Source organism: Homo sapiens, chromosome 4, assembly GCF_000001405.40.
Source record: "Homo sapiens chromosome 4, GRCh38.p14 Primary Assembly".
NCBI lineage: Eukaryota > Metazoa > Chordata > Mammalia > Primates > Hominidae > Homo > Homo sapiens.
Window position 1 is genome coordinate 113,553,725 of NC_000004.12, and position 24,179 is coordinate 113,577,903.

The 24,179-nt window shown below is 36.1% G+C and overlaps 1 protein-coding gene across 53 annotated transcripts in view, besides 2 other annotated features; it reads right to left on the reverse strand.

Annotated features, from left to right (window-relative positions):
* Nucleotides 1-24,179, reverse strand: part of CAMK2D (calcium/calmodulin dependent protein kinase II delta) — a 310,707-nt gene that overhangs the window by 102,693 nt on the left and 183,835 nt on the right. The window lies entirely within an intron of this gene.
* Nucleotides 4,046-4,215: an enhancer, noted in NCBI's record as "experimental_72235 CRE fragment used in MPRA reporter constructs". NCBI's record gives its function as "activates a minimal promoter by MPRAs in K562 erythroleukemia cells, with activity observed for both the introgressed and non-introgressed 4:114479011 variant alleles {active_cell/tissue: K562}" and the evidence as "EXISTENCE:reporter gene assay evidence [ECO:0000049][PMID:34662402]".
* Nucleotides 6,808-8,007: an enhancer, noted in NCBI's record as "MED14-independent group 3 enhancer chr4:114481688-114482887 (GRCh37/hg19 assembly coordinates)". NCBI's record gives its function as "activates an origin of replication core promoter dependent on BRD2, BRD4, P300/CBP and CDK7 cofactors, and independent of MED14, by STARR-seq in HCT116 cells {active_cell/tissue: HCT116}" and the evidence as "EXISTENCE:reporter gene assay evidence [ECO:0000049][PMID:35650434]".

A 24,179-nucleotide genomic window follows, 5' to 3' on the forward strand; every position in this document is an offset into this window, starting at 1 on the left:
GGCATGTTCTAAAAACCATGGTTACATGTACGTAATTCCATTTAATAGCATAGCTATTTATTCCGATTAGAATCTATAATAAGGCAATCACACAATGTACCTTACATAAATTACAATGCAAAATAGTTAGACAAAAAACACTTTCAACAAGTCTACTGTTGCCTGTATAGTGACGATAACAATTTTGTGAGATTTCTTCCTTTGAATGTGACTGATGTATTATAGATATAATATATACTCGTAGTTATCCTTGTTTTTGACTATAAGTACCTAGAAAACCTACATACATTACAGACAATTTTGGATTGTTAAAATGTTTAATAAACATTGATTAAAGTCTACTGACATTAATAAAATTGCTGCTATTTATAGGCTCCTTAAACATGTTATTTGGCCTATGAAAAATACCAGATCCTGGATCACTGGGCTCTCAACTTACTGATCTTTGTTATGTTAGCATCTAACCTAGCATTAATACATATTTGCTTAATTAATGACTCTTGAAGTAATGATTAAATGAATTAACCCAGTTAGAGAATCATGCTATCCATTTCATTTACTGTAAATCTGAACTTTACATGAGCTTAAAAAAAATCATACAAATACCAAAGTTTAGCTATACATGGCAATAGATTTTATTTCCTAAGGGGTTCGTATTTAAAGGAGAATATTTAAAAAGTCAGGGGGACTAGCATTCTGGTAGTTTTCAATAAATCATAATAGCTTTAGACAAATTTGAGGGGTGTAGAGTTTCATGTTGAGTTTTAGATTATGTAGTTAACTGTGTCTGACAACATTCTCTCTCCTAGTATTCATTCGTCCCATTATTTAAAAATATCTTTACACAAATGAAACCATTTTATCATTTCTTCTATATGTATGATAAATGTCTGAAAAGGAAAAAATATCAGTTATAATAGAATTCAATGTCTTGAAGAGAAGCTACTGAATTTTCTAACTTTAACATATTTTTATACTCACATTATTTTTTAATAGAACACAAAATTAAGCCATAGTTATTAGATATTTTTGAAAATTTTTACTGTGCTTTGTGAAATTTCATATAATGCCCAAATTAAATCAGTCTCATGAATAAATTGTTAATTAACTAATTAGAGATTTTGTGAATAAATTGATGTCAGAGTTCTACTATGATATGAAGGATATCAATTATAAATTTGAAGCATTAATTACCATTTATGAAATCTCCAGAACATTAGGGCTCACAAGGAAAAAAAAAGATAACTCTAGAACATGAAAAAATGAGATATGTATCAGAAAGATAAATATTTGTTACTGTTGTTATTTATAGTGATGTTGATTCACACTGTATTATTACCCTGTATAATAAATTGTTCTTCTGTTTCTAGTGTACAATTTGCAATTCCCATCAGAAATGGTCAAAATTAATTTCATCCAGAATACAACATTTGTAAAATTTCATCAGTAATAGATCTTTGACCATGAGGCTGAGCAGCAAGTAGAGTCAAAGACTGGGATTTAAAAAATAAAATGGTGCCACATTAACCCAAGGAATAGCACTGACTTGGAGATTAAAAGCAGTGCTCGAGGTGGTGGGGGAAAGCCAGGAACTTCAGGTTGGAGCTGATGGGAAACAGGAACCAAGAGCGGCACCCAGTTAATGCACAAGTAGGAGGCAATCTTGCTAAGGTAGGACTGGGACTAACTCTGGAAAAAGGAGTAATTTCCCCTGGGAAATTAACTTAAAGCTGAAGAACAAACCTAGTGAGATGAGATTGCCAGACCTGAAATCCAAGCGTTTGAGCAGTGGTAACAGAGGTTCATTAAGCAGTTAAGCGAAGAATCACCACAATCAGATTTTTATTTGTAAAAAAACATATCTCCTGCTGCCTTGCATTTAAGCAATTGGTATCTCTTCATTTAGTGATGAAGGCAGAAGTTGTAATGGTGACAGATTCATCCGCGTCACCTGCATGGTCATCCAACACACTGTCTTCCACTTGTTGAACAATAACAATAACAATAAATATTCATTGGGTGCTTATTGTGTGTGCAACTACCTGGATATCTGTGCCCCCTCCCCAATTAATAGGTTAAAATCCTAACTCCCAAAGTGCTGATATTAGGAGGTGGGGCCTGTGGGAGGTAATGAGGTCATGAGGGTGGAGCCCTCATTTGGGGTCGTTACCAAAGGGACTCCAGAGAGCTCTCTCCTCTCTTTTCTCCGTGTAGAGATATAAGAAAAAGTCAGTAGCCTGCAATCCAGGAAAGAGCCCTTGCCAGAACCAGACCACGCTGGCACGCTGATACGCTGATATCAGACTTCCAGCCTTCAGGACTGTGAGAAATGTCTGTTGTTCAAGCCACCCAAGCTATGGTATTCTGTTAAGCAGCCCAAAAGACTAAGAAAATGTGCCAAGACTAAGTGCTGTTCTAAGTGCTCTAGAGATTGCAACACAGCAACCCTATGAAGTAGATACTAGTGCTATTTCTGTTTTATAGACAAGGAAATGAAAGTAATGGAGATTAAGGTCATTTCCCAAGAACACACACAAAAGAAAGGAAAAGGACTAGCTTTTTCTTGTCTGTGCTGCCCTACTAGCTTGCCCCTTGGACACAATTTGGGGAGCAGAGAAGGGTAAGACAAGGGGCTCGGAATACCCCAAAGGATCATGCAGAAAGACTGGGAAGAATACAGACATAAAGAATTCCCACTTATGTGCCCTTTAATCATTGATTAAAGTCAGACAGTTTGAGTACTGGTGAGGGCAGGAGAGTAGTCACTGGTCAGTGTGAAGCTGATCAGGGCTCATTAGTAGGAGTGTTACTGGGTGTCTTGGCTGGATGATTCTATATTACGAGTGTGCAGATGTCCTGTATAAGGCAAGACTGTCAGCACCAGGCCCTGTTCTAGGTGCGGCAGAACTACCTTGTCAGCGTGCCAACCAGTGTGCCAAGTCCATCCATTTCTAGTTACCCCAGGGGCTCCCCAAAGACCCCTGAAGGGAACCATGTGTCTAAATGAACAAAGTCTATGGGGATACAATGAAAAATGTGGGTCTCCTTAGCACCATGTTCTAAGATATAAAGTAAATCAAGCCAACCACTGGTGTAAGGGTCTGTCAGGCAGAGCACATGACCGATAATGGGACATTGTCTCTTCAGCACCTTACACAATGCCTGGCTCACAGGAAGAGCTTAATAAATGTTTTCTGAGTGAATAAGTGATTAAATAATTAAATGGGGGAATGAAACTATAAGCACCACTTCATGATTTTCTGGTTTGACCTGTTATTTGAGCTAGTACCTCAGGGTGAAGAGGCCCAACCACTTTTTCTATTATGTAGGTACAGATCTCTAACTAAATCTTGCTGATTATATCTCCAAAACAGGACTTGAATCAAGACTTCTATCTCCACTACAATGTCACCAGCCTAAGTCTCTGCTATCTCTCACATGTACCACTGCAATAACTCCTAATGGGCCCCATTTCCTATCTTGCCCCCCAGCCCCCATATCAACTCTCCACACAATAGCTTTAAATGTACATCCAATTTTGTCACATGTCTGCATGAAGCTCTTCAATGGCTGTACACTGATTTTTCAGGCCAACTCCTGATATGACCTTCATGTCTCCGCTTAATTTGTATCCCACCTATCTTCCAATTGAGGCCCTCTCTTTCTTGCTCTAGTTGTGATGGCCTTCCTCCAGTTCCTCAAGCATAGTAAGCTCCTTCCTGCCCTAGGGCCTTTTCACATGCTTGTCTCTCTTCCGGGAATTCCCAAGAACACTCATGGAGAAGGAGAATGTCAAATTTGAAAGTAAGTGGTCTTTCTGCAGTGTCTGTGAGGTGACAGTCATTTATAGCATCCTTTCTATGTCTTTATGGAAATCTTAATAATGAATTCAGGGCTGTGCAAGCTGTGTTTTGCAGATTAGCTCTTATGTCTTACCATAGTACTTATCTTTTTTGATTTGAGGCTGGTTTACTGAGTCAGATTACCTCTTCAGAAGCCTATAATTTGTAACTGCATAGTTTTGCACCAGTCCTACCCTTAGCTCCCCAAAATTCCCCTGGGCACATATACGTATATTATGAGCATGGATGAGTTGATATAATAATGCACTCAACTCTTTGGAAAACACAACAGCTGATACCAGAGTACCTGTGCATATATAAAACACATTTTAAAAATAGAAAAACACTAATAGTCTACTCAGATAGATTAGTGAGTGCCCTGATGGGGCATTAGGCTTCCCTGCCAAGCATAACCTTTGGTCCCTGAGATGTACAGTTCTTGGAGTTGAACCTGGGCCCAGACCCAAAGATGCAAGACACTCTTTTGGAGGTGAGGAATCTGGCTGAAAAGAGTTGGTTACATACTAGACCCAGAGTTGGGCAACAATAATCTCCCATTAAAGTAGTGAGACAAAAGGAGAAATAACACACTCACGTAACTCACAATGTAGTTAAACCACATATACAAAAGTTCAGTTTTCATAATCACCATTTAACTTTCTGCTTCATCTATCCAAGCTAACTGAATAACCAAGTCACATTTTTAAGAGTTAATTTTCATATATGTATAGTAACTGTTTTTAATTCTTGAAGTCATTAATTTTTATTGGCCCCAATATTTTTAGTAATTTGCTATCAATAATTTTTATTATGGCCTCGATATTTTTAGTAATTTGCTATCATTAAATTATATATGCAGTTGGCCCTCTGTATATGAGGATTTGACAATGGCAGATTCAACCAACTGAGGATCAAAAATATAGTATTCAAAAATAAATAAGTATACAGGAGGATGTGCATAGGTTATAGGCAAATACAGTATTATGCCATTTTATATCAGGGACTTCAGTATCTGCAGATTTTGTTATCTGAGAGGGTCCTCGATTCAATCTTCTGTGGATAGTGAGGAACAACTGTAATACATACATATACACACACATACACTACTATGTCATGTGTGTATATATATATGTAATTTCACTTATAAAATACTGATTTTGCCGGGTGTGGTGGCTCACGCCTATACTCCCTGCACTTTGGGAGGCTGAGATGGGAGGACTGCTTGAGCCTAGGAGTTCAAAAACAGCCTAGGTAACATAGTGAGAGCCTGCCAGGTGGGGTGGTATGAACCTGTAGTCCCAGCTACCCAGGAAGCTGAAGTGGGAGGATCGCTTGAGCCTGCGAGGCTGAGGCTGCAGAGAGCCATGATCGTACCACTGCACTCCAGCCTAGATGACAGAGCGAGACCCTGTCTCAAAAATAAATAAATACTAAAATCGAATATTAATTTAAAGAGGTAAATGGAAGATTACTAACATGTCATGCATTTCAAACGTTATCTGACCTATATACTCTACTGTGCATTAAAAAAAAACAAATGAAAGAAATCGCTGTATATGGTTTTGCAAGCACCACAGACATTCTAAAGATAACAAGAATATTTACAAAATATATTTTAAAAGAATAGAGAAGTCCATCTAATTAGAAACAATTTGAATACACAGAGGAATTATGTATTAACTATTGGAATTCGGTAAGCCTATCAGATAAATTAAAATCTCAATACCTATGCTATCTCTTGTCATTCACTAGACTAAGTTTCAAACACTATAATATGGACATGATTATTTTTATTTATCTATATGTTAAAATCATTGCCATTTAAAAATCCCTTGTATTATCACATTTTTTGCTCATATTTTGTTATTTATTATGCTTGGGTAATCCTTAGAGAAAAATTATAATCACTTTTAAAAATATCTGCCATTGGCTCACTGAAGAATGTTACTAACTGAGCATCATTACCTGATAAGCTACATATTATTAACGTCACATGTACTGAAACAGCCTAGGAATCCTACCAGGGTTAGGCTGAACCTTCCTGTGCATGTAAGATTTCACTGTTAATGCCAAGGCAACTGCCTTTGACTGAAAACATCATCACAGTTAAATTGTGTTTCACACGTTAATTGGGATGAAATCGTTTCTGTGTATCAGTAATTCATCTAAAAGTTAGCTTTGGTCATCAGAAAAATGAGCATTTATTTAGCCACAAAATGTGTAGATCATGTTATGAAAGCAGGAAAGCTACTGTAGATAATGGGTGAATTTATACCCCAAAGTTCAGATTCTAACATATTTCTAATCATCAATACTTCAGAAATAATCCTGAAATAGAGGTGACAGATGAGTGAAGCCACTGATTTGTTGATACGCCCCTATACGACAACAGGTTTTCCAGGTTCTGGAACATTGGGGGTTTCAAAGATGTCAGACAAGAAGAGATTCTATCATTTATCAGTCTTCAATACTCAGAAGACCAACAGATCCTCTGCTGGAGAGGAGATACTGTTACTGTTGATCCCTGTGAGTGTGTAGATGCTTACAAAGGAAGGGCTCAGGCTACAGTCGGCTGAAAGCTATTTAAATGGTCCTTCTTGTTTTGCGGATACCAGGACATCCCCTACCAAGTTCTCCAGTGAGCGACTCATTTGTTCTCACAGCATTTTTTTTTTTTTCCTGAAAATACAAATAGCTTCATGGAGAGTTAAACTTTGTCATTAAGCAGTGTCGTTTATCTACTAATTCTACAAATATTACTCAACTTTATTCATAATATGTGTGAGCTTTGCCCATGCTAATGGACAAGAATATAAAGAATCAAGTTGTAAGCTCTATCAAGCATCTAGTCTCGTGGAGAAAATAGAAACATAAATAAAAAATTATGTTCCTGTGGAACATGCTTTAAAGCATAGGTCTATTTTTAAAGCCATAATCCTTAAGACCTAGCAAATCCTAGACTCAGGAATTGTCCCATTTACAGAGGAAATATGTATACTTGTAAGTAAAAAAGTTTCACCCAATACTTACCTTTTTAGCATGATGAAAGGAAGAAGAATTAGCACAACTGGGACACATGTGGACTCTATCTGTGTAGACTCACTGATGAATACACAGTAACATCCACACTGGAACATTACACCAATCAGTGCCCCATGCCAGCCAGGAAGGCTGGGAGTCTTGCTGCATCTTGTCACTTATTGCAGTTTATGAAGAATTCTTGCTATTTCCCCTATTTCCTATGCTTCCTAGAGGGCTCCACACCACTGCTATATAGATTCAGGAAGTTACTCCATACAAAGGATAAGCAAAAAATGAAGAGGAAAAAATAGTCTCATAAAGGCTAAGGGAAAAGAGAGGAGAGAATAATGAATTCCTTCTGTGGGTCAGAGAAACTTTCATAGAGGAGGTGCTATCCAAGGAGGACCCTACATAAATGAGGAAGAGTTGGCCAGGAAGAAATGTGAGACATGAACACCTAGGAAGAAACAGGAGTTCAACTGCAAAGAGGAGAGAAAAAAGGAACAAAAGAGTTGGAAACAGGAATCTCAATTTCCCCTTATTTGATCTCTAACTTTCCTCTCATTCCTCACAATATTCAGGATATATTTTATTACTACAGGGACTTACAAGATAGGTGTGGTGGCTCAGGCTTGTAACCTCAGCATTTTGGGAGGCCAAGGCAGGAGGATCACTTGAGCCCAGGAATTCAGTCTGGGCAACATAGTGAGACCCCGTATCTATAAAAAATTTAAAAATTAGCTGGACATGCCTGGGCATGCCTGTAATCTCAGCTACTCAAGAGGCTTAGGGAGAAGGATTGCTAGAGCCCAGAGGGTAGAGGTTGTAGTGAGCTACGATCACACCACTGCACTTCAGCCTGGGAGACAGGGCTAGACCCTGTCTCTTAAAAACAAATAAAAAGGCTTACAAAAGCTACCTTTTCCCAAATGTGCTCAACATTCTTTTTGGTATACTCTAGTGACTGTGTTTTACAATGAAAACTAGTAGCTCATTTCTAGTTACATAAAATTTTCCCATTTATCTGAATAAAGGCTTAAGTCAATCTAGACATTTTTAAAAAGATAATGCCAGATTAATCTCTACACAGGCTTAACAGAAACGATGCTTTCTGAAGGGATGTCTGAGATAGTAATACCATTTTTTAAAAAAAGATCAAGAGTTATTGCCGGTTTTATTCCCAACCTTTTGATTTTGTCAGTAGCTAAGAAGTGACTTAGTAATTGTTTCTAGGTTTAACATTCATGCTCACAAGTTCTTCATGCTTCAGCTTAAGTGTTCTGTTGCCATGTACTACACATATCATCAGACAACAGATTTCTTATTTTTTACTGGCAATATAGTTGGGTCTCTGGAATATTACCAAATGGTTTATTGTATGTGTGCCTGCATACACGTGTAAACACAAGCATACACGCCCACTTAGTAAGCATTAAAGAAAAGCCTGATTTGCTCTAGTAATTTTAGCTGACTTTTTACTGGATATAAAATGTTCAATGAATTAAAAGAAAAAGCATCACTGTAAAGCTGCATAATTCAATTTAATCTGAAAAGAGTCTAGTCTGAATAGCCATATTTCTAAATTATGGAATATTTTTCTAAGGAAATGAAAACACATTTCTTTTAAGTAAAAGGTGATAAAGTCTTATTTGACTCCTTTACAAATTATAAATTCTGCCAGAGCTCCATTAAGAAACAGCCAAGCAGAGGCATGCCACATGCAAATTACTGTGTTAAGTAATTATCTAAAATCTTATTTATACTCATTTTCTAAGCACAATGCCTATTTAGAATACAGAGATTGAGGTAAGTCTAGATCATTCAAATTATTGTCAATTTAAAAATTATTCACTTATTCATGTATTTGTGTGTTACTTATACTACACTATCTTCTTAAAGGGATTTGAGACAGCTTATCATCTGTCAAATCATCTAAATTATAAAATTTCCCCATGTGATTTCTAAGTGCATGCTTTTTTCTTTTTCAGGCTAACATACGAAAGAAGGAGCAACAGATTTATACTTAACTGCAGCCTACAAAGATCTATACAGCCTTACATTGCTTCCATTTTTAATAATTCTAACAGTTCAGTAAGACAAATGTGCTTGATTTTAATAATCAATTGTTCATTGAATCAAAAAACATTTGTTGCTTTTTATGTGCAAGTGTTAGGCAACTAATTTACTGAAACTTGGTTTAATAGTTTGGTTCAATAAATTGTTTTTTAAAGAAGATTATTAGGTTTATAGGCATATATGGCTTTATTTAATTTAATGAATGCCTGCAAAATTACAAACTCTTTATTCACACTTAGTAGTAGCTTTGTCACTATTCAACAATACAACAAGATAATCTTTAGCTGTGGACTTAAAAATAAAATGCATTCTGGCCGGGCACAGTGGCTCACACCTGTAATCCCAGCTCTTTTGGGAGGCCAAGGCAGGTAGATACACTCAGGAGTTCGAGGCCAGGCTAGCCAACATGGTGAAACCCTGTCTCTACTAAAAATACAAAAGTTAGCTGGGCCTGGTGGTGGGTGCCTGTAATCTCAGCTGCTCAGGAGGCTGAGGCAGGACAATTGCTTGAACCTGGTAGGTGGAGGTTGCAGTGAGCCGAGATCACGCCATTGCACTCCAGCCTGAATGACAAAAGCAAAACTCCATCTCAAAAAAACAAAAAAACAAAATAAAATGCATTCTTACACACATAATAAACACAGTATTTGTAGGCATCATTACTGACAAATGTTAAGTTACTACAATGCAAACCAGGCACTCTAGATCTGGGTACTGAAAGCCATTTAATGTGTGGGTTTTCTTTCATTGAGAGCTTTCTTTCACTTTGTCTCTCATAGAATCCTCACTTTTGGTTCTTCCTATATTTTCTTTCCCCACTCCCTCCCTCTGGTTCTATAGGGAAGGGCGTGTTGCCAAGGTACTGAACCATTTTGCTGGACCCTAAGAAGGAAATGAGGATGTTTCAGTGTTTCCAACTCTAAGATAGTGGTTCAATGGGTAGTTTGGTGGATGGTGCTATCCCACAGATTTCTAATACTGGAGAAGGAAAGGTAATTTTCTTGGAGGCACTTCTTGGGATCAATGGGAGAAGTGATGACAGAATACAATTATTTTTAGTTGATCACCTGGAGACTATCTATTTAGCCACATTATTCAAGTCTGGAGTGTATCTGTACTCAACTATTGTGTTAAGAACAGTACAAATAAACAACTTCGGCACAGTATCCTATCCCACCCAAATATACTTCATGTCGAGATTTATGTTTCACTTAAGCAAATTTTAATGGTAGGAAGCTTCAGAAAAGGGGAAGAGGGAACTTAGTGAAAAATATTACAGACTGATAGTGTTGAAGGAAGCTAACCTAGAATTTAAAAAATCCTTAGAGAATCTATGAAATAGAGACTCTTGATGGAGATAACTAGTTTCTTTTAAACTCTCATTTGTGACTATTAAATGTCTACTTTTCCATTTATAAAATGTTCCCTATATTAAGAGTTTTTATACTGAAGCAATTTTACTAGGTTCATTTGCATACGCATACTTAAAGCTCAGTTTCAAGGTATCAGTGACCTCCTCCTTGGAAAGCTAACACTGATTGGCCTAGAGTACATAGTTTCAGGCCTTTACCATGACATGCATGGACCTCCATAACGTGGCACACTCTTACTGAGCTCTCTCCCTTTTTAATTCCACACCAATTACCTTGAACTTTGGTTAGTTGCCTATTTCACCAAGCATTTTTAATGTAATTCCTTGCTGGTAACGCCTAGCTAGGCAATCTTGATTTAATTTTCCATGAGCTTATACATTCTTCAAGAAAGAGCCCAAGTTTCCTCCAGAAATACTTCTCTGAAATCCACCCACTGTGCTTTCACAGCATACTGTGCTTGTTTGATTTAAATTTCACACCGAGACCATCTGCTTATATACCCATATCTCCTACTAAACCTCAAGATAAGGAAAGGCAAGGACCATGTCTTACTTATTTTTGGTATCCCTTGAACCTAACATGAGCCTAACACATTGCCTGAGACATATTAGCAGCTCAATCAACATTAATTGAATTGAACAGTATGCGAAAGGGAAGATGCAATATGAAATCAGTTAAAAAAGGGAAGTGGAACTACGGGTATTTTTTATTATTAACATTTTCCTTTAAAAGGAGGATTTAAAACTCCTATTCTTCTAGTCATTTGCATATTTATTCTTTTAACAAGTATATACCAAGTGTCCATGTATTAGAGCCTATATTAGATGAGGAATATGATGGCCCCTAAATTTTAAAAAATACTCAGAAAATACAAAATGTAATAGGACATCAACGGATATAACAGATATCCATGTGATACATAAAGGATATCAATTCAAATTTTCAAAGCATACATGCTTGGCTATTACTACAGATAAGTCAGTTGAAACATCAAATGAAAGCAGTTAAGTCAGTTCAAAGAGTCTTCAGAAAAAATAATAACATTTAACCACAGGATGTGGTCAATCTCCTGTCAGACCACAAATAGTCACCAGCTGCAGATAAGTCTATGATTAGAAATGTTTTCAGCCAGCACCACAGTGTATTGGTTTGTGAAAGAGAACAGGCAAGGTAGGGGGTTGGTGATTAGAAGTGAAGCTGGGTGGCCATGATCCTATAAATTTACCCATTACAACAAATTAAAGAGGGCTTATTCAAAGGGCTGTACAATACCTCTCTATTTTGGCTGCCAAATGCTTAGAAGAGTTACTTTCACGCAGAAGTCAAAAAAAAGGCTGGCCATGGTGGCTCACGCCTGTAATCCCAGCACTTTGGGAGGCCAAGGCGGGTGGATCAGTTGAGGCCAGGAGTTCAAGAACAGCCTGGCCCACATGGTGAAACCCCGTCTCTACCAAAAATACAAAAATCAGCTGGGCGTGGTGGTGCATGCCGGTAATCCCAGCTACTCAGGAGGTTGAGGTAGGAGAATCGCTCGACCCCGGGAGGCAGAGGTTGCAGTGAGCCGAGATCATGCCACTGCACTCCAGCCTGGGAGACACAGTGAGACTCTGTCTCAAAAAAAAAAAAAAAAGAAGTCACACAAAAAAAACGAATAATTGAACACACGTGTGCAAGATAAGATGCCATAGATCATAATCTTTGCCACCCAGATGACAGAATCACCTTAATTTGAGGTTTAAATCACTTTTGGGAATGTTGAAACATGGAGAAAAGACAGAAAACTAGGATAAATTCACTTTCCTGGCCTTTTCTGAACTCAACAGTCTGCTTTCCTACAGAATAGAAAAAAAATTAGTAGAGGCTATTAATGAGTTCAGAGTTTAGATGCACTTTTGGAAGATTTTGTGGTGTTATTTGATATTCTAAAATAACAATCAGAATTTCTACATATTTTCATCATTGTAAAATGTTTTACTTTCTATTATTTATTCTGTGAAGTTATTATTTTTTCTTTTCAATATTATCTTCAGTTGCCACTAAGAATAGGAGAGTTTCATGCTAAAGGGGGAAGGCTGAAGAGAAGAAACGTCTCTCCCTTTTTCACAATGGAAAGTAGCAAAAGAGACTGTTTTCTGACTGTGAATCAGCTTAGTAATACTGGTCCAGTTCAAAGAGCAGGAATCCCCTTCTTTTAAAAACCATGTATCTTCCTAAAGCTCTGAATGTTCAATTCTTTGTACTTTTGCAATATATGTGTAGAGTTCAGTCATTTTTAAAAGTCCAATTTACCTTTTGAAGATGAAACATAAGTTTTCTCCTCTACTGCTCTCACCTATGCCCAAATCATTGTCATTTTTTTTCTTTGACTCCTCCAATATCCATTTTCCTCCACTTCCATTCTGCCCTCCTATAATCCCTTGCCACACTGCAGCAAGAGAGAGCTTTGTATAATGAAATCGGATTATTTCATATTTCCGATCTTTAAATCTTCCAACACCTTTCTAGAACACACAGCATAATATCTAAATTCCTCTTTCTGGCCTACAAGGCCTTTGAGCTCTGGCCCACACCTATCTCATGTATTATTTCATATCCTTGCACCCTAGGACTTGGGATGTTTCATGCCACACTGGCCTTTGTTCTGCTCCTCATTGAAGCCACATTTTCTCAGGGCTGTACCCATTGTTCACACTGAGTGGAATATCTACTCACAGATCTTCTCAACATTTAGGTTCTTCTCCTGAAACATCATAGCAACCATTCCCGATCACCCTCTAAATCAGCCATCAGCCCCTAGTTACGCACCAAATATCACCCTGTTTTCTTCATAGCACTAGAACTAAAATGATTTGCTGGGTTTCTTTGGTCATTTACTCATTATCCATCCCCTCCTCCTTCAACTACTACAATGTCAGTTCTGTCTTGTCCATTACTGTATTCCAGGACTTGGCAGAGTATATGCATATAGCAGGCATGCAATAAACGTCTACTGACTGAATTACTTAAAAAAAATCAGATGCACTAACACTGAGATCAAACAACCAAAAAAGCAGACTAGAGTCAAGCCGTGAACATTATACATGTTCAGACCCCAAACATAACAACTGAGATCTTTTTTTTCTTTTCTTTTCCTTTTTTTTTTTTTTTTTGAGATGGAGTCTCGCTCTGTCACCCAGGCTGTAGCACAGTGGTGCAATCTTGGCTCACTGTAACCTCTGCCTCCTGGGTTCAAGCAATTCTCCTGCCTCAGCCTACCCAGTAGCTGGGATTACAGGCACCCGCCACCAAGCCTGGCTAATTTTTGTATTTTCAGTAGAGACGGGGTTTCACCATGTTGCCCAGGCTGCTCTCGATCTCCTGACCTCAGCTGATCTGCCTGCCGCAGCCTCCCAAAGTGCAGGGATTACAGGTGTGAGCCACTGCACCCGGCCAGCTGAGATCTTTTGATCTGACATCTATGATCCTGTTATACAGGGGGAAATCTTAGATCCCCACATAAAATTTTACATTTCTAAGCTTTATAATTCTTATAAAACTATATAAAATAGTCTGATTTTTCAGGTATCTCAAAGCAAATATGGATGAAATTTGAAATTGGTTAAAATGACAAGCATGGAAGTTAGTCACCTTATGTTAGAACAACTGTCTTTGATACTTAGCTATTTAGCTGTGTGACTCAGAAGAATAACTTAACTTCTCTGAACTTCAGTGTCCTAATCTATAAAATGGCTAAAACAAGTATCTAATAGTATTGATGTAAAATTAAAGAGCTAAAATAGTTGAAGAACATAACAGTGTCAGGTACACACTAGGTACCCAATAAACATTAGTTATAATTATTATTGCTTCAAAACAACGAGTCCTCCTTGGTTAATATACTGCAACCACATAACTAGACATCATTTTACCAGGTATTAGGTTTATTTACTTAGGAGAAGTAATTAACAATAGCTTGATACTTAAACCATAAGATTTATTAATAAAATCTGTCCACAGTGTATGTTCAGGGGTCTCTAGTTATTTTTTTATGGAAAAGTGATGTTTTTAAAATTGTGGCAAAATACACACACGATGAAATTTACTCCTTAAAAAATTCTTAAGGGCACAATTCAGTGGCATTAACCATAATGTTGTGTGACCATTTTCAGAACTCCTGGTCATTCCAAACAGAACTCTGTACCCCAAAACTATCCATTCCCCCTCTCCTCCAGCACCTGGTAACTGTCACTCTACTGTCTTTCCCTATGAATTTGCCTATTCTAATTATTTCATATAAGTGGAACCATTCAATATTTGTGCTTTTGGGTCTAGCTTATTTCTCTTAGCCTAATGTTTTCAAGGTTCATCCATGTTGTGGCATGTGTCAGAATTTCATTACATTTTTAAGCTGTGTAATATTGCATCGTATGTACAGGCTACAATTTGTTTATGCATTTATCTGTTGATGGACATTTGTGTTGTTTCCACCTTTTGGCTATTTTGAATAATGCTGCTATAAACATTGTTAAGTATCTGTTTGAGTCCCTGCTTTCAATTCTTTTTGGTATATACTGAGAAGTTAAATTGCTAGATCATACGGTAATTCTATGTTTAACTGTGCAAGGAATCACAAAACTTTTTTACACAGCTGCTGTGCCATTTTACATTCCCACCAGCAACCTACATGAGTTCCAACTTCTCTATATCCTGGCCAACACTTGTTACTTTCCATCTTTTGTTTGTTTGTTTGTTTTGTTTTTATAATAGTCACTTTAGTGGGTGTGAAGTACTATTTCACGGTGGTTTGATGTGTATTTCTCTAATGATGAGTAATGTTGAGTGTCTTTCTATGGGCTTATTGGTCATTTGTATATCTTCTTTGAAGAAATGTTTATTCAAGCCTTTTACTCATTTTTTAATTGCTTTTTTGTTGTTGTTAAGTTACAGAAGTTCTTTATATATTCCGGATATTAACCCCTTACTAGATGTATAATTTGCAAATATTTTCTCCTATTCTATAGGTTATCTTTTCATTAATTTTTCTTTTTGTAGAGACAGGGTCTTGCTATGTTTCCCAGGCTGGTCTCAAACTCCTGACCTCAAGTGATTCTCCCACCTCTGCCTCCCAAAGTGCTGTGATTAGAGGCCTGAGCCACTGTGCCTAGCCCATATTTTTACTCTCTTGATTGTGTCCTTTGATGCATAAAAGGTTTTTAATTTTGATGAGGTTCAATGTATCTATTTTTTCTTTTGTTGCTTGTGCTTTTGTGTCATATCCAAAAAAATTGTTGGCAAATCCAATGTCATGAAAGTTTTTCTCCTACATGTTCTTCTAAGAGTTTCATAGCTTTAGCTCTTACATTTAGGTCTTTGATCCATTTTAAGTTTTGCATATGGTGTAAGGTAAGGGTCCAACTTTTAAATTTTGCATGGGATATCCAGTTTTGTTCTAATAATTCTGGTACAATGTAGGAAAATGGCTGAAAGGACCATGTACAACTTGTATATATCTATAGAGGTTAATTAAAAATGCATTCAAAGTTTCTTTTAAATAGAGAATATAAAACAAAACAATATACCTGTTACCAGATTTTTAAGTAATTAACTTCTAAATATCTCACACAAGAATTTGAGAGAATTGGCCAATATTTAATCTAAACCATTATCATACAAGATCTTCCCCAAAGGTCAGAATTCATGCAATTCTACCCTCTTAAGAATAATATCTCTACAAAAACATTAAATTGGCTTTTATGTTGTTGTAATTTAGAAAAATCCATTTGTAGCAAATATAAACATATGAGTCGATTCCTTTAGATTATAAGTATTTTACAGTGAAGCAAGTTTATTCTTGTTTTACTCTTTATGGTGAATATAATCGAGATGATTAAGAATATAGTTCTGCTAATAAACAAATTTAGTAAAGTTGCAGGATACAAAATCAGCATACAAAAATCAGTAGTATTTCAATATACTAACAACAGAGTATATGAAAAAAATCCAGAAAACAATCTAATTCACAATAACTACAAAAAGGAATAAATTTGAGCAAAGAGATGAAAGATATGTACATTGAATTCTATAAAACATTGATAAAAGAAATTGAAGACAACACAAATAAATGGAAATATATCCTCTGTTCATGGATTGGAAGAATTAATGTTGTTTAATTAAGTTCATACTAATGAAAGTGATCTACTGATTCTATGCAATCCCTACCAAAATTCTAACAGTATTTTTTTTCACAGAAATAGAAAAAACAATACTAAAATTTGTATGCAACCATGAAATACTAAAATGTGTATGGAACCTCAAACAGCTAGAGCAATCTTGAGCAAAGAGAACAAAGCTGAAAGCATCACACTATCTGATTTCAAATTCTATTACAAAGGTATAGTAATCAAAACAGCAGAGTTACTGGCATATTGTCAGATTCACAGACCAATAGAAGAGAACTGAGAGCCTAGAAACAAATACATACATTTATGGTCAACTAATTTTCAACAAAGATGCCAAGAATACATAAGGAGGAAAAAGAGAGTCTCTTCAGTAAGTGGTGCCAGAAAAACTGGATATTCACATGCAGAAGAATGAAATTAGACATTCATATTACACTACATATAAAAATCAACTCAAAATAGATTAAAGACTTAAATGTAAGATTTAAAACTGTAAAACTACTAGAAGAAAACACGGGGAGAAAGCTCCTTGACATAGGTCTGAGCAATGAATTTTTAAATATGACACCCAAAAGATCAGACAACAAAAGCAAAAATAGATGAGATTACATGAAACTTAAAAGCTTCTGCTCAAAAAAGGAAACAATCAACAGAGTGAAGAGACAACCTAGAGAATGAGAGAATATATTTGCAAACCATACATCTGATAATAGGTTAATACGCAAAATATATAAGAAACAAACAACTCAACAGTAAGAAAACAAATAACCTGATTAAAAAATGGACAAAGGACCTGAATAGACATTTGTCAACAGCAGACATACAAATGGCCAACAGGTGTATGAAAAAATGTTCAACATAACTAATCATCAGGAAAATGCAAATTAAGGCTACAATAAAATATCACTTCACACTTGTTAGAACAACTACTATCTAAAACACAAAAGATAAGTGGTGAGGATGTGGAGAAAAGGGAACCCTGGTACACTACTGGTGGGAATGTAAATTACTACAGCCATTATGGAAAATAGTGTGACAGTGCCTCAATAATTTAAAAAATAGAACTACCATATAATCCAGTAATTCCACTATGGGGTATATATTCAAAGGATATAAAATCAATACGTTGAAGAGATGTCTTCACTCCCATACTCACTGCAGCATTAACAATAGCCAAGAAATCAACCTAAGTGTCCATCAACAGATGTGTGGATAAAGATAATATGGCATATAAAGACAATGGAATACTATTCAGCCTTTAAAAAGAAGGGAATCTTGTTATTTGTAAAAACATGGATGGCCCTAGAGGATATTATGTTAAAAGAAAAAAGCCAGGCACAGAAAGATAAATACTGCATGATCTAACTTATAATGTGCAGTTTAAAAAAGTCAAACTCGGCTGGGCGCGGTGGCTCACGCCTGTAATCCCAGCACTTTGGGAGGCCGAGGCGGGTGGATCACCTGAGGTCAGGTGTTCAAGCCTAGCCTGGCCAACATGGCAAAACCCCATCTCTACTAAAAAATAAAAAAATTAGCTGGGCATGGTGGTAAGCACCTGTAATCCCAGCTACTGAGGAGGCTAAAAAATTTGTCTATAACTAGCTGTCTATCTGGGAGTCTAGTTATCTATCTGTATTATATTCTTTCAATGTGAGACACGAGTTTCATAAATTTAATTAACAGAATACAGACTGCACTAGAGAAGTGTGAAAACCAATTTGGAGACAATAAATTCAATTAACTCAAACAACATACTCTCGAAAAACTTCAAGAGCCAACATCAATCTTGTTTATGTAGAGAGACATGTTGGGCCTAATTCCTGAAAGATTATTTTACTTGAAGATGGGTAAAACCCTGCAACATGAAAACAGTTTTCATAAAAAAAAAAAGGAAGTGTTTCACTATTTGTTATTTTAAAAGAATAGGGTTGTGCTAAACTTCCAGAGTTGACACATTCTTCCTTTCTACAGGATACCTTACTAAACCAGACTAAACTGTTTAAATAGAACTCATTTACATAAGAATTGTGTTGATAAAAATGTTGAGGAAAGGGAAAAGTACCTAGAAACATATCATTAGCTGACAAGGATTGATTGACCTTCAATCATTATTTTACATTAAAAGCCCTCTGAGACTATTTATAAGATTTAAAAAATATGGTAAAAAGGGCCTAATCTCATACACAGGAAAGGATGCTTAAAGTATTTACTGGTGGCAATTTTAATTTGGTACACTGGAATGAAATTTTTATTTAAAAAAAAAAACCAAACACAAAGGACATGAACAGACACTTCTCAAAAGAAGACATACATGCAGCCAACAATTATATGAAAAAAAGCTCAATATCACTGATCAATAGAGAAATGCAAATCAAAACCACAATGAGATACCATCTCACACCAGTCAGAATGGCTATTATTAAAAAGTCAAAAAATAACAGATGCTGGGGAGATTGGGGAGAAAGAGAAACCCTTATGCGTTGTTGGTGGCAGTGTAAATTAGTTCAATCATTGTGGAAAGCAGTATGGTGTTTTCTCAAAGAGCTAAAAGCAGAACTACCATTCGACCCAGCAAAAGCAAATACATGGAATCAACCTAAATGCCCATCAATGACAGACTGGATAAAGAAAATGTGGTACATATACACCACGAAATATTATGCAGCCATAAAAAAGGACAAGATCATGTCTTTTGTGGGAACATGGATGGGGCTGGAGGTTACCATCCTTAGCAAACTAACACAGGAACAGAAAACTCAACACCACATATTCTCACTTATAAGTGAGAGCTAAAAGATATGAACTTATGAACACAAAGAAGGAAACAACAGATACTGGGGTCTACTTGAGGAAGGAGGGTGGGAGGAGGAAGCGGAGAAGAAAAATAACTATTGAGGACTGGACTTAATACATTAGTGATGTAATAGCGTGTACAACGAATCCCAGTGACACGTGTTTATCTATGTAACAAACCTTCAAATGTACCCCCAAACCTAAAATAAAAATGGAAAGAAAAACTCCAAACAACAAAACATGTGTTTTGTGTGTACACACATACATGCACATACACACACATACAATCTCTAAGTCACCAGATTTTATATCAAGAGCTGGGTTGTTTGTTGTTTGAGGTAATCTTTTAAAAATTAACTTATTCAGAAGCTACAATTATGTTTTGATTTTCCTGAGCATTTTAGTACTGATGCTCTCCTTTTGGGAACGAACATGACATGAAAGTTTTTAAAAAATCATCAACCATTTCTTCGACTAAACTCAGCCCACATGGCCTACTCTGGATATTCCAATAAAGCACACTAGGTCTGTTGACAGAATCTGCAGGTGAAGAGGCAAGGAAATACCAAAAACGTGGGTGCAACAGTTAATTGAATAATGAATCCAAGTATAACCTTCAGGCATTGTATAATAAGGCAACCAGAAGCCTCCAGATAACAAATAAAGAGGCTTTATAAAACTACTTCCATACATTTTCCAGTGCACACCTTGAACTGATGTAAATTCTCACTTACTATTTCCTCCTTCCCTCCTACCTAAAAGAAAGAAGGCTTCCTCCTTGAAGATCAAAGGCTTCATTTCCGATCTTAGTTTGTTCCTGCTCTTCAGAGCTTTACTCTTCAGTTCTCCCTGACTCCCCCACCTTTTGCCTGTGTTTTTACTATCTACTTCTTCACTGGCTTCTTCTCATCTGCCCATAAGTGAGAGTCTCTCATCAATATCCCTGTCTACCCTCATTCTCTCTCCACCTATTACTCTCTTACCTTTTAACTATCTTCAGTAGATGTCTCATGGACATTCTGAAGGCATTTCAGGGTACGCAAAATATATTCATTTTAATCTACATTCTTATATCACAACTCCTACCCGTGCACCAATCACGCTAAATCCTTAGCTCCACTTTCAGTTCCGTACTGTGGCATCCAGTGGTTTACCACCTTTTGCCACATTCTGTCTCCAAAATACTCCTGGACCTGATCCCCTCTTCTTCATTCCCTATCCCACAGAGTTCAGTGCTTCACCGTGTCTCACATAAATTACTAGACAGCCTCCTAATCAATCTCCCAATTCACCTCTCCTTTCTACAAATATATTCTTCACATTGCTGCCATGGTTATTGTTCAATGCAGTGCAATCAGGGCATTTCTCTGATTAAAAATATATTTGATTCCATAAATAGCATCTAAATAAATTATGAGGTTTTAGAGCTCAGAAAGGACTGTTGAAATAATCTATTTTAGCACAGAATAGTGGGATAATCTTTCCAAGGTCATCAGTCACGAAGGAAAAGGGCTAGTATTAGAACCCAAAAGCCTGATTCCTCACTGCATTTAGGCAAAGCTTATTTCCAAGTTTGAGTTTTGGTTTACAAACTGAGATACTTCTTTTTCACTTTTAATGCCATGCAATCATTAAATGTTCTTTTCAACCATATGTCTACATTATAAGGAAGCTGTGAAGCAAGATAAGCCTCAGCTCTTAGTTAGATTTTGACTAAAGTGCTTCACTGGACAGATCTTATTGAGAACAACATTTTTCTCTGTTGACGTCAGTGGAAAAATGCTAGGCATATTTGCCAACTCTCAGACTCTGTTAAATGTTACATATGTGTTCCAAATGGCTAGAGAACACATAAATGAAAACATTAATCCCATAGGCAGCAGACAGACACTGTCACTGCTGAATTTGAGAACTCCAGGAGGTCTTATAAGCCCAGTTTTACCAGGGTAAGTCTTCCTTTGTCAGCAGCATATGGTGAAATCAGTTGAAGAAAAAAAATGAACACAGCATCTGTGCACTCACTTCTTCAAGTTTTAACAGCCAATTAGGCTTTCTACAGTAATATTTATAGCTCCACAAAACTCAGGTAGTAAATGTAATCACTTTTCCCCTCTGGAGAATGTAGGCTGTTAAACTACAGAAGTGAGGGGGTTTATTCTACTCATTTGCTGTCTTAAGGAACTTAAAAAGAAGGGTAATTATTTATTTGAAGATTACCATCCACTCCATGGATAGAAAGACAATAGAAGAACTAATATTATGTGTCTGTATGATAAATTGCAGTGTTTTATGCAACAAAATGTAAAACAATTAAAGAAACACCTCATTCACTTGGTATCATTAGGGACAGGGCTATTTTCTTAAATTATTTTTCAAAATAACAAAAGCTCCTTTGAGCTCCAAAACTTTATTTAATTAATTTTGATGGCTACAACAAAATATACTTTAAATTTCTCTGAATTCTTAAATATGCAAAATATAATTTTCTTAAAGACCCCGGATCATAATTATGATTATACAATTCTGTGTTATGCAGTTTTTGGTGCTTAAGAACTACAGAGGTTAGTAGAAATATTTGGCCCCTCACCAAGTCCTGTCAAACCACAATGTTTTTGTAGCTCTAATTTCTTTGCTGTGCTTCATTTAAACCCTCAGTCAGTCAGCTCTTTATTCTTCTTGTTATTGCAATCAGTGTATCTATGTCTTTGTCTTTTTTGGTCTGTATTTCTCCCCTTTAATTTCCAGTTTCTAATTGCCTAAATGCTTGGACATTAGATTATAAAACCTGTTAAAATGCATGAAAGCGATGTGTTCTGATGAAGGGCCTGAGAGTCTTTGTGGAATAAAGTGCATGAGCCTCAGTGAATATATTTGTTGGCAAATATTTTAGTTATGTAAAGTTTTTTTTTGCTTACTGACTTCCTAGTAAGTAGGAATTTGAAGCATAAACTATATTGCTATTTTTTAAAAGAGAAGCCTCACATATTTTTTATAAGTATCTTCTAGCTAAAGTTAGAAAATACTCGGTCATCACTTATTAAGCTCTTTTAATATATATATTTAGACAGAGGTTCTCCCTCTTGTCACCCAGGCTGGAGTGCAGTGACAAGATCCCATAGCTCACTGCATCCTCAAACTCCTTGTCTCAAGCAATCCTCTCACCTCAGCCTCCTGAATAGATGGGACTACAGAAATGAGCTGCCACGCCTGGCCCCTGAAAATATTTTTTATTTTTGACATTAAAAAACACATAATAGACTGAAAATCTACATTCACAGATCTCCGATGTTTAGTCCCATTAACTTATTGGCACGTTTGCTTCTAATCTCCTTTACCAACCCCTCACCTTTTTAAACAGTCAGAATTACTTTAATGAAAATAAGATATTCTCAGTATAGAGACTTAAAACAATGAAGAATAGTATAAAAATGAAAGCAAAAAGAAGAAAAAGCTATCTTAAATCCAAAACAGAAATAATCATCAATATTAGAAGATCAAATCAGACAGTAATCTAGAAGAGTGTGTGTGTGTGCATGTGCCCACACACAAGTACACAGAAGGGTATACAGACGATAGAAACATACACATTAAAAAAACAAACTCGTATGATTATTAATCTTAATTTACTGAGCATTAAGTTTAACTCAATTTAAAATTAATAGAAAAAACAAAGTGAACCTTAAAAATACTTTTTAACTGCAGATGTATTTCTCAGAAGATCACTTTAAATTTTTTTTAAAAGAGAATTTTGAAAAAAAATTAAGAGGCTAGAATAATTTGTTAACTACATGTTTTAATTTAGACGGTACCAACTGACATCCTGCCTTCAACAAAAGATGAAGACATTAGCATTCTCATGCACCCTTCTAATTCCCCTCCCTCATTTCCCTATTTTTGTTAATTATAATTGTGAAACTGCCTAGATTTATACATTCACATTCTCTTGGTTTTCCTAATTCCCAGAATTGTTTAGTATTCATTTCATTTCAAAGAGGATTAAATGCTCATAGCCAATCGTTTTACCACAGGTTTTTCATTAATAAATTATTTACTTTCATTGATTTGTATTTTGTTTTTTGTTAGTTCTCCTTCCCCTCCCCCCAGGAAGAGTCCAATGAATTCTTTACTTTGGGGTTTTGGTTTTCACATTTGAGAATTTTTACTGCTGTGGTTTTCATTAGATAGCATCTTGCTGCCTGGATGCGTAAAGAATTCTTTCCATAATCTTAAAAGTTTATCAGCTTAACTAGAACATCTCTCAGATTCATGTTCTGATTCAAAATTTCCTGGAATATGTTGTGTTCTTTCGATATACAGATTCAATCTTTCTTCATTTTGTAAAAGTTCTCTTGAGTTACATATGTTGTTCCATATTTTGGGTTCTCTATTCAGGAACACCAATTACCCTTATGTTGAATTAGCTTTAGCTCTGTTCCATAGACATTAGATTCTCTAAAACTCTCCATTCTCCCCCTCCTTCATCCACATACACTATACTGATCATAAGTCTTCTCACTGTCACTAATTACATAATCAGTACTGTTTATCAAATGCCTTGTATTTTGTCTGTTACTAGTTCAATAATGATGTTAGCTTGGCCCTCGATTTGTTTTCTCACACATACGATATACCTTTTATTTTCTAGGCTTTGAGCTCACTCTTTATTGAATATGTGTCCTTAGTGAGTGGTTCTTTAATGTGACACAACTGTGAGATTTTCTTTGGCTCATTTGTGTTACAGTTTTTTCCTTTGGGCTCTTCGTATACTATTTTTTTTTTTTAGATCTAATAAGCTTGTATAATTATTTGCATAAATGTTGTGCCATGGCATATTTTTCCCCATGTTCCATGTGTTTGGACATTTCAGACAAGACTCTGTATTTGTCATGAAAGAGTGCACCTGATTTAAGTCTTTC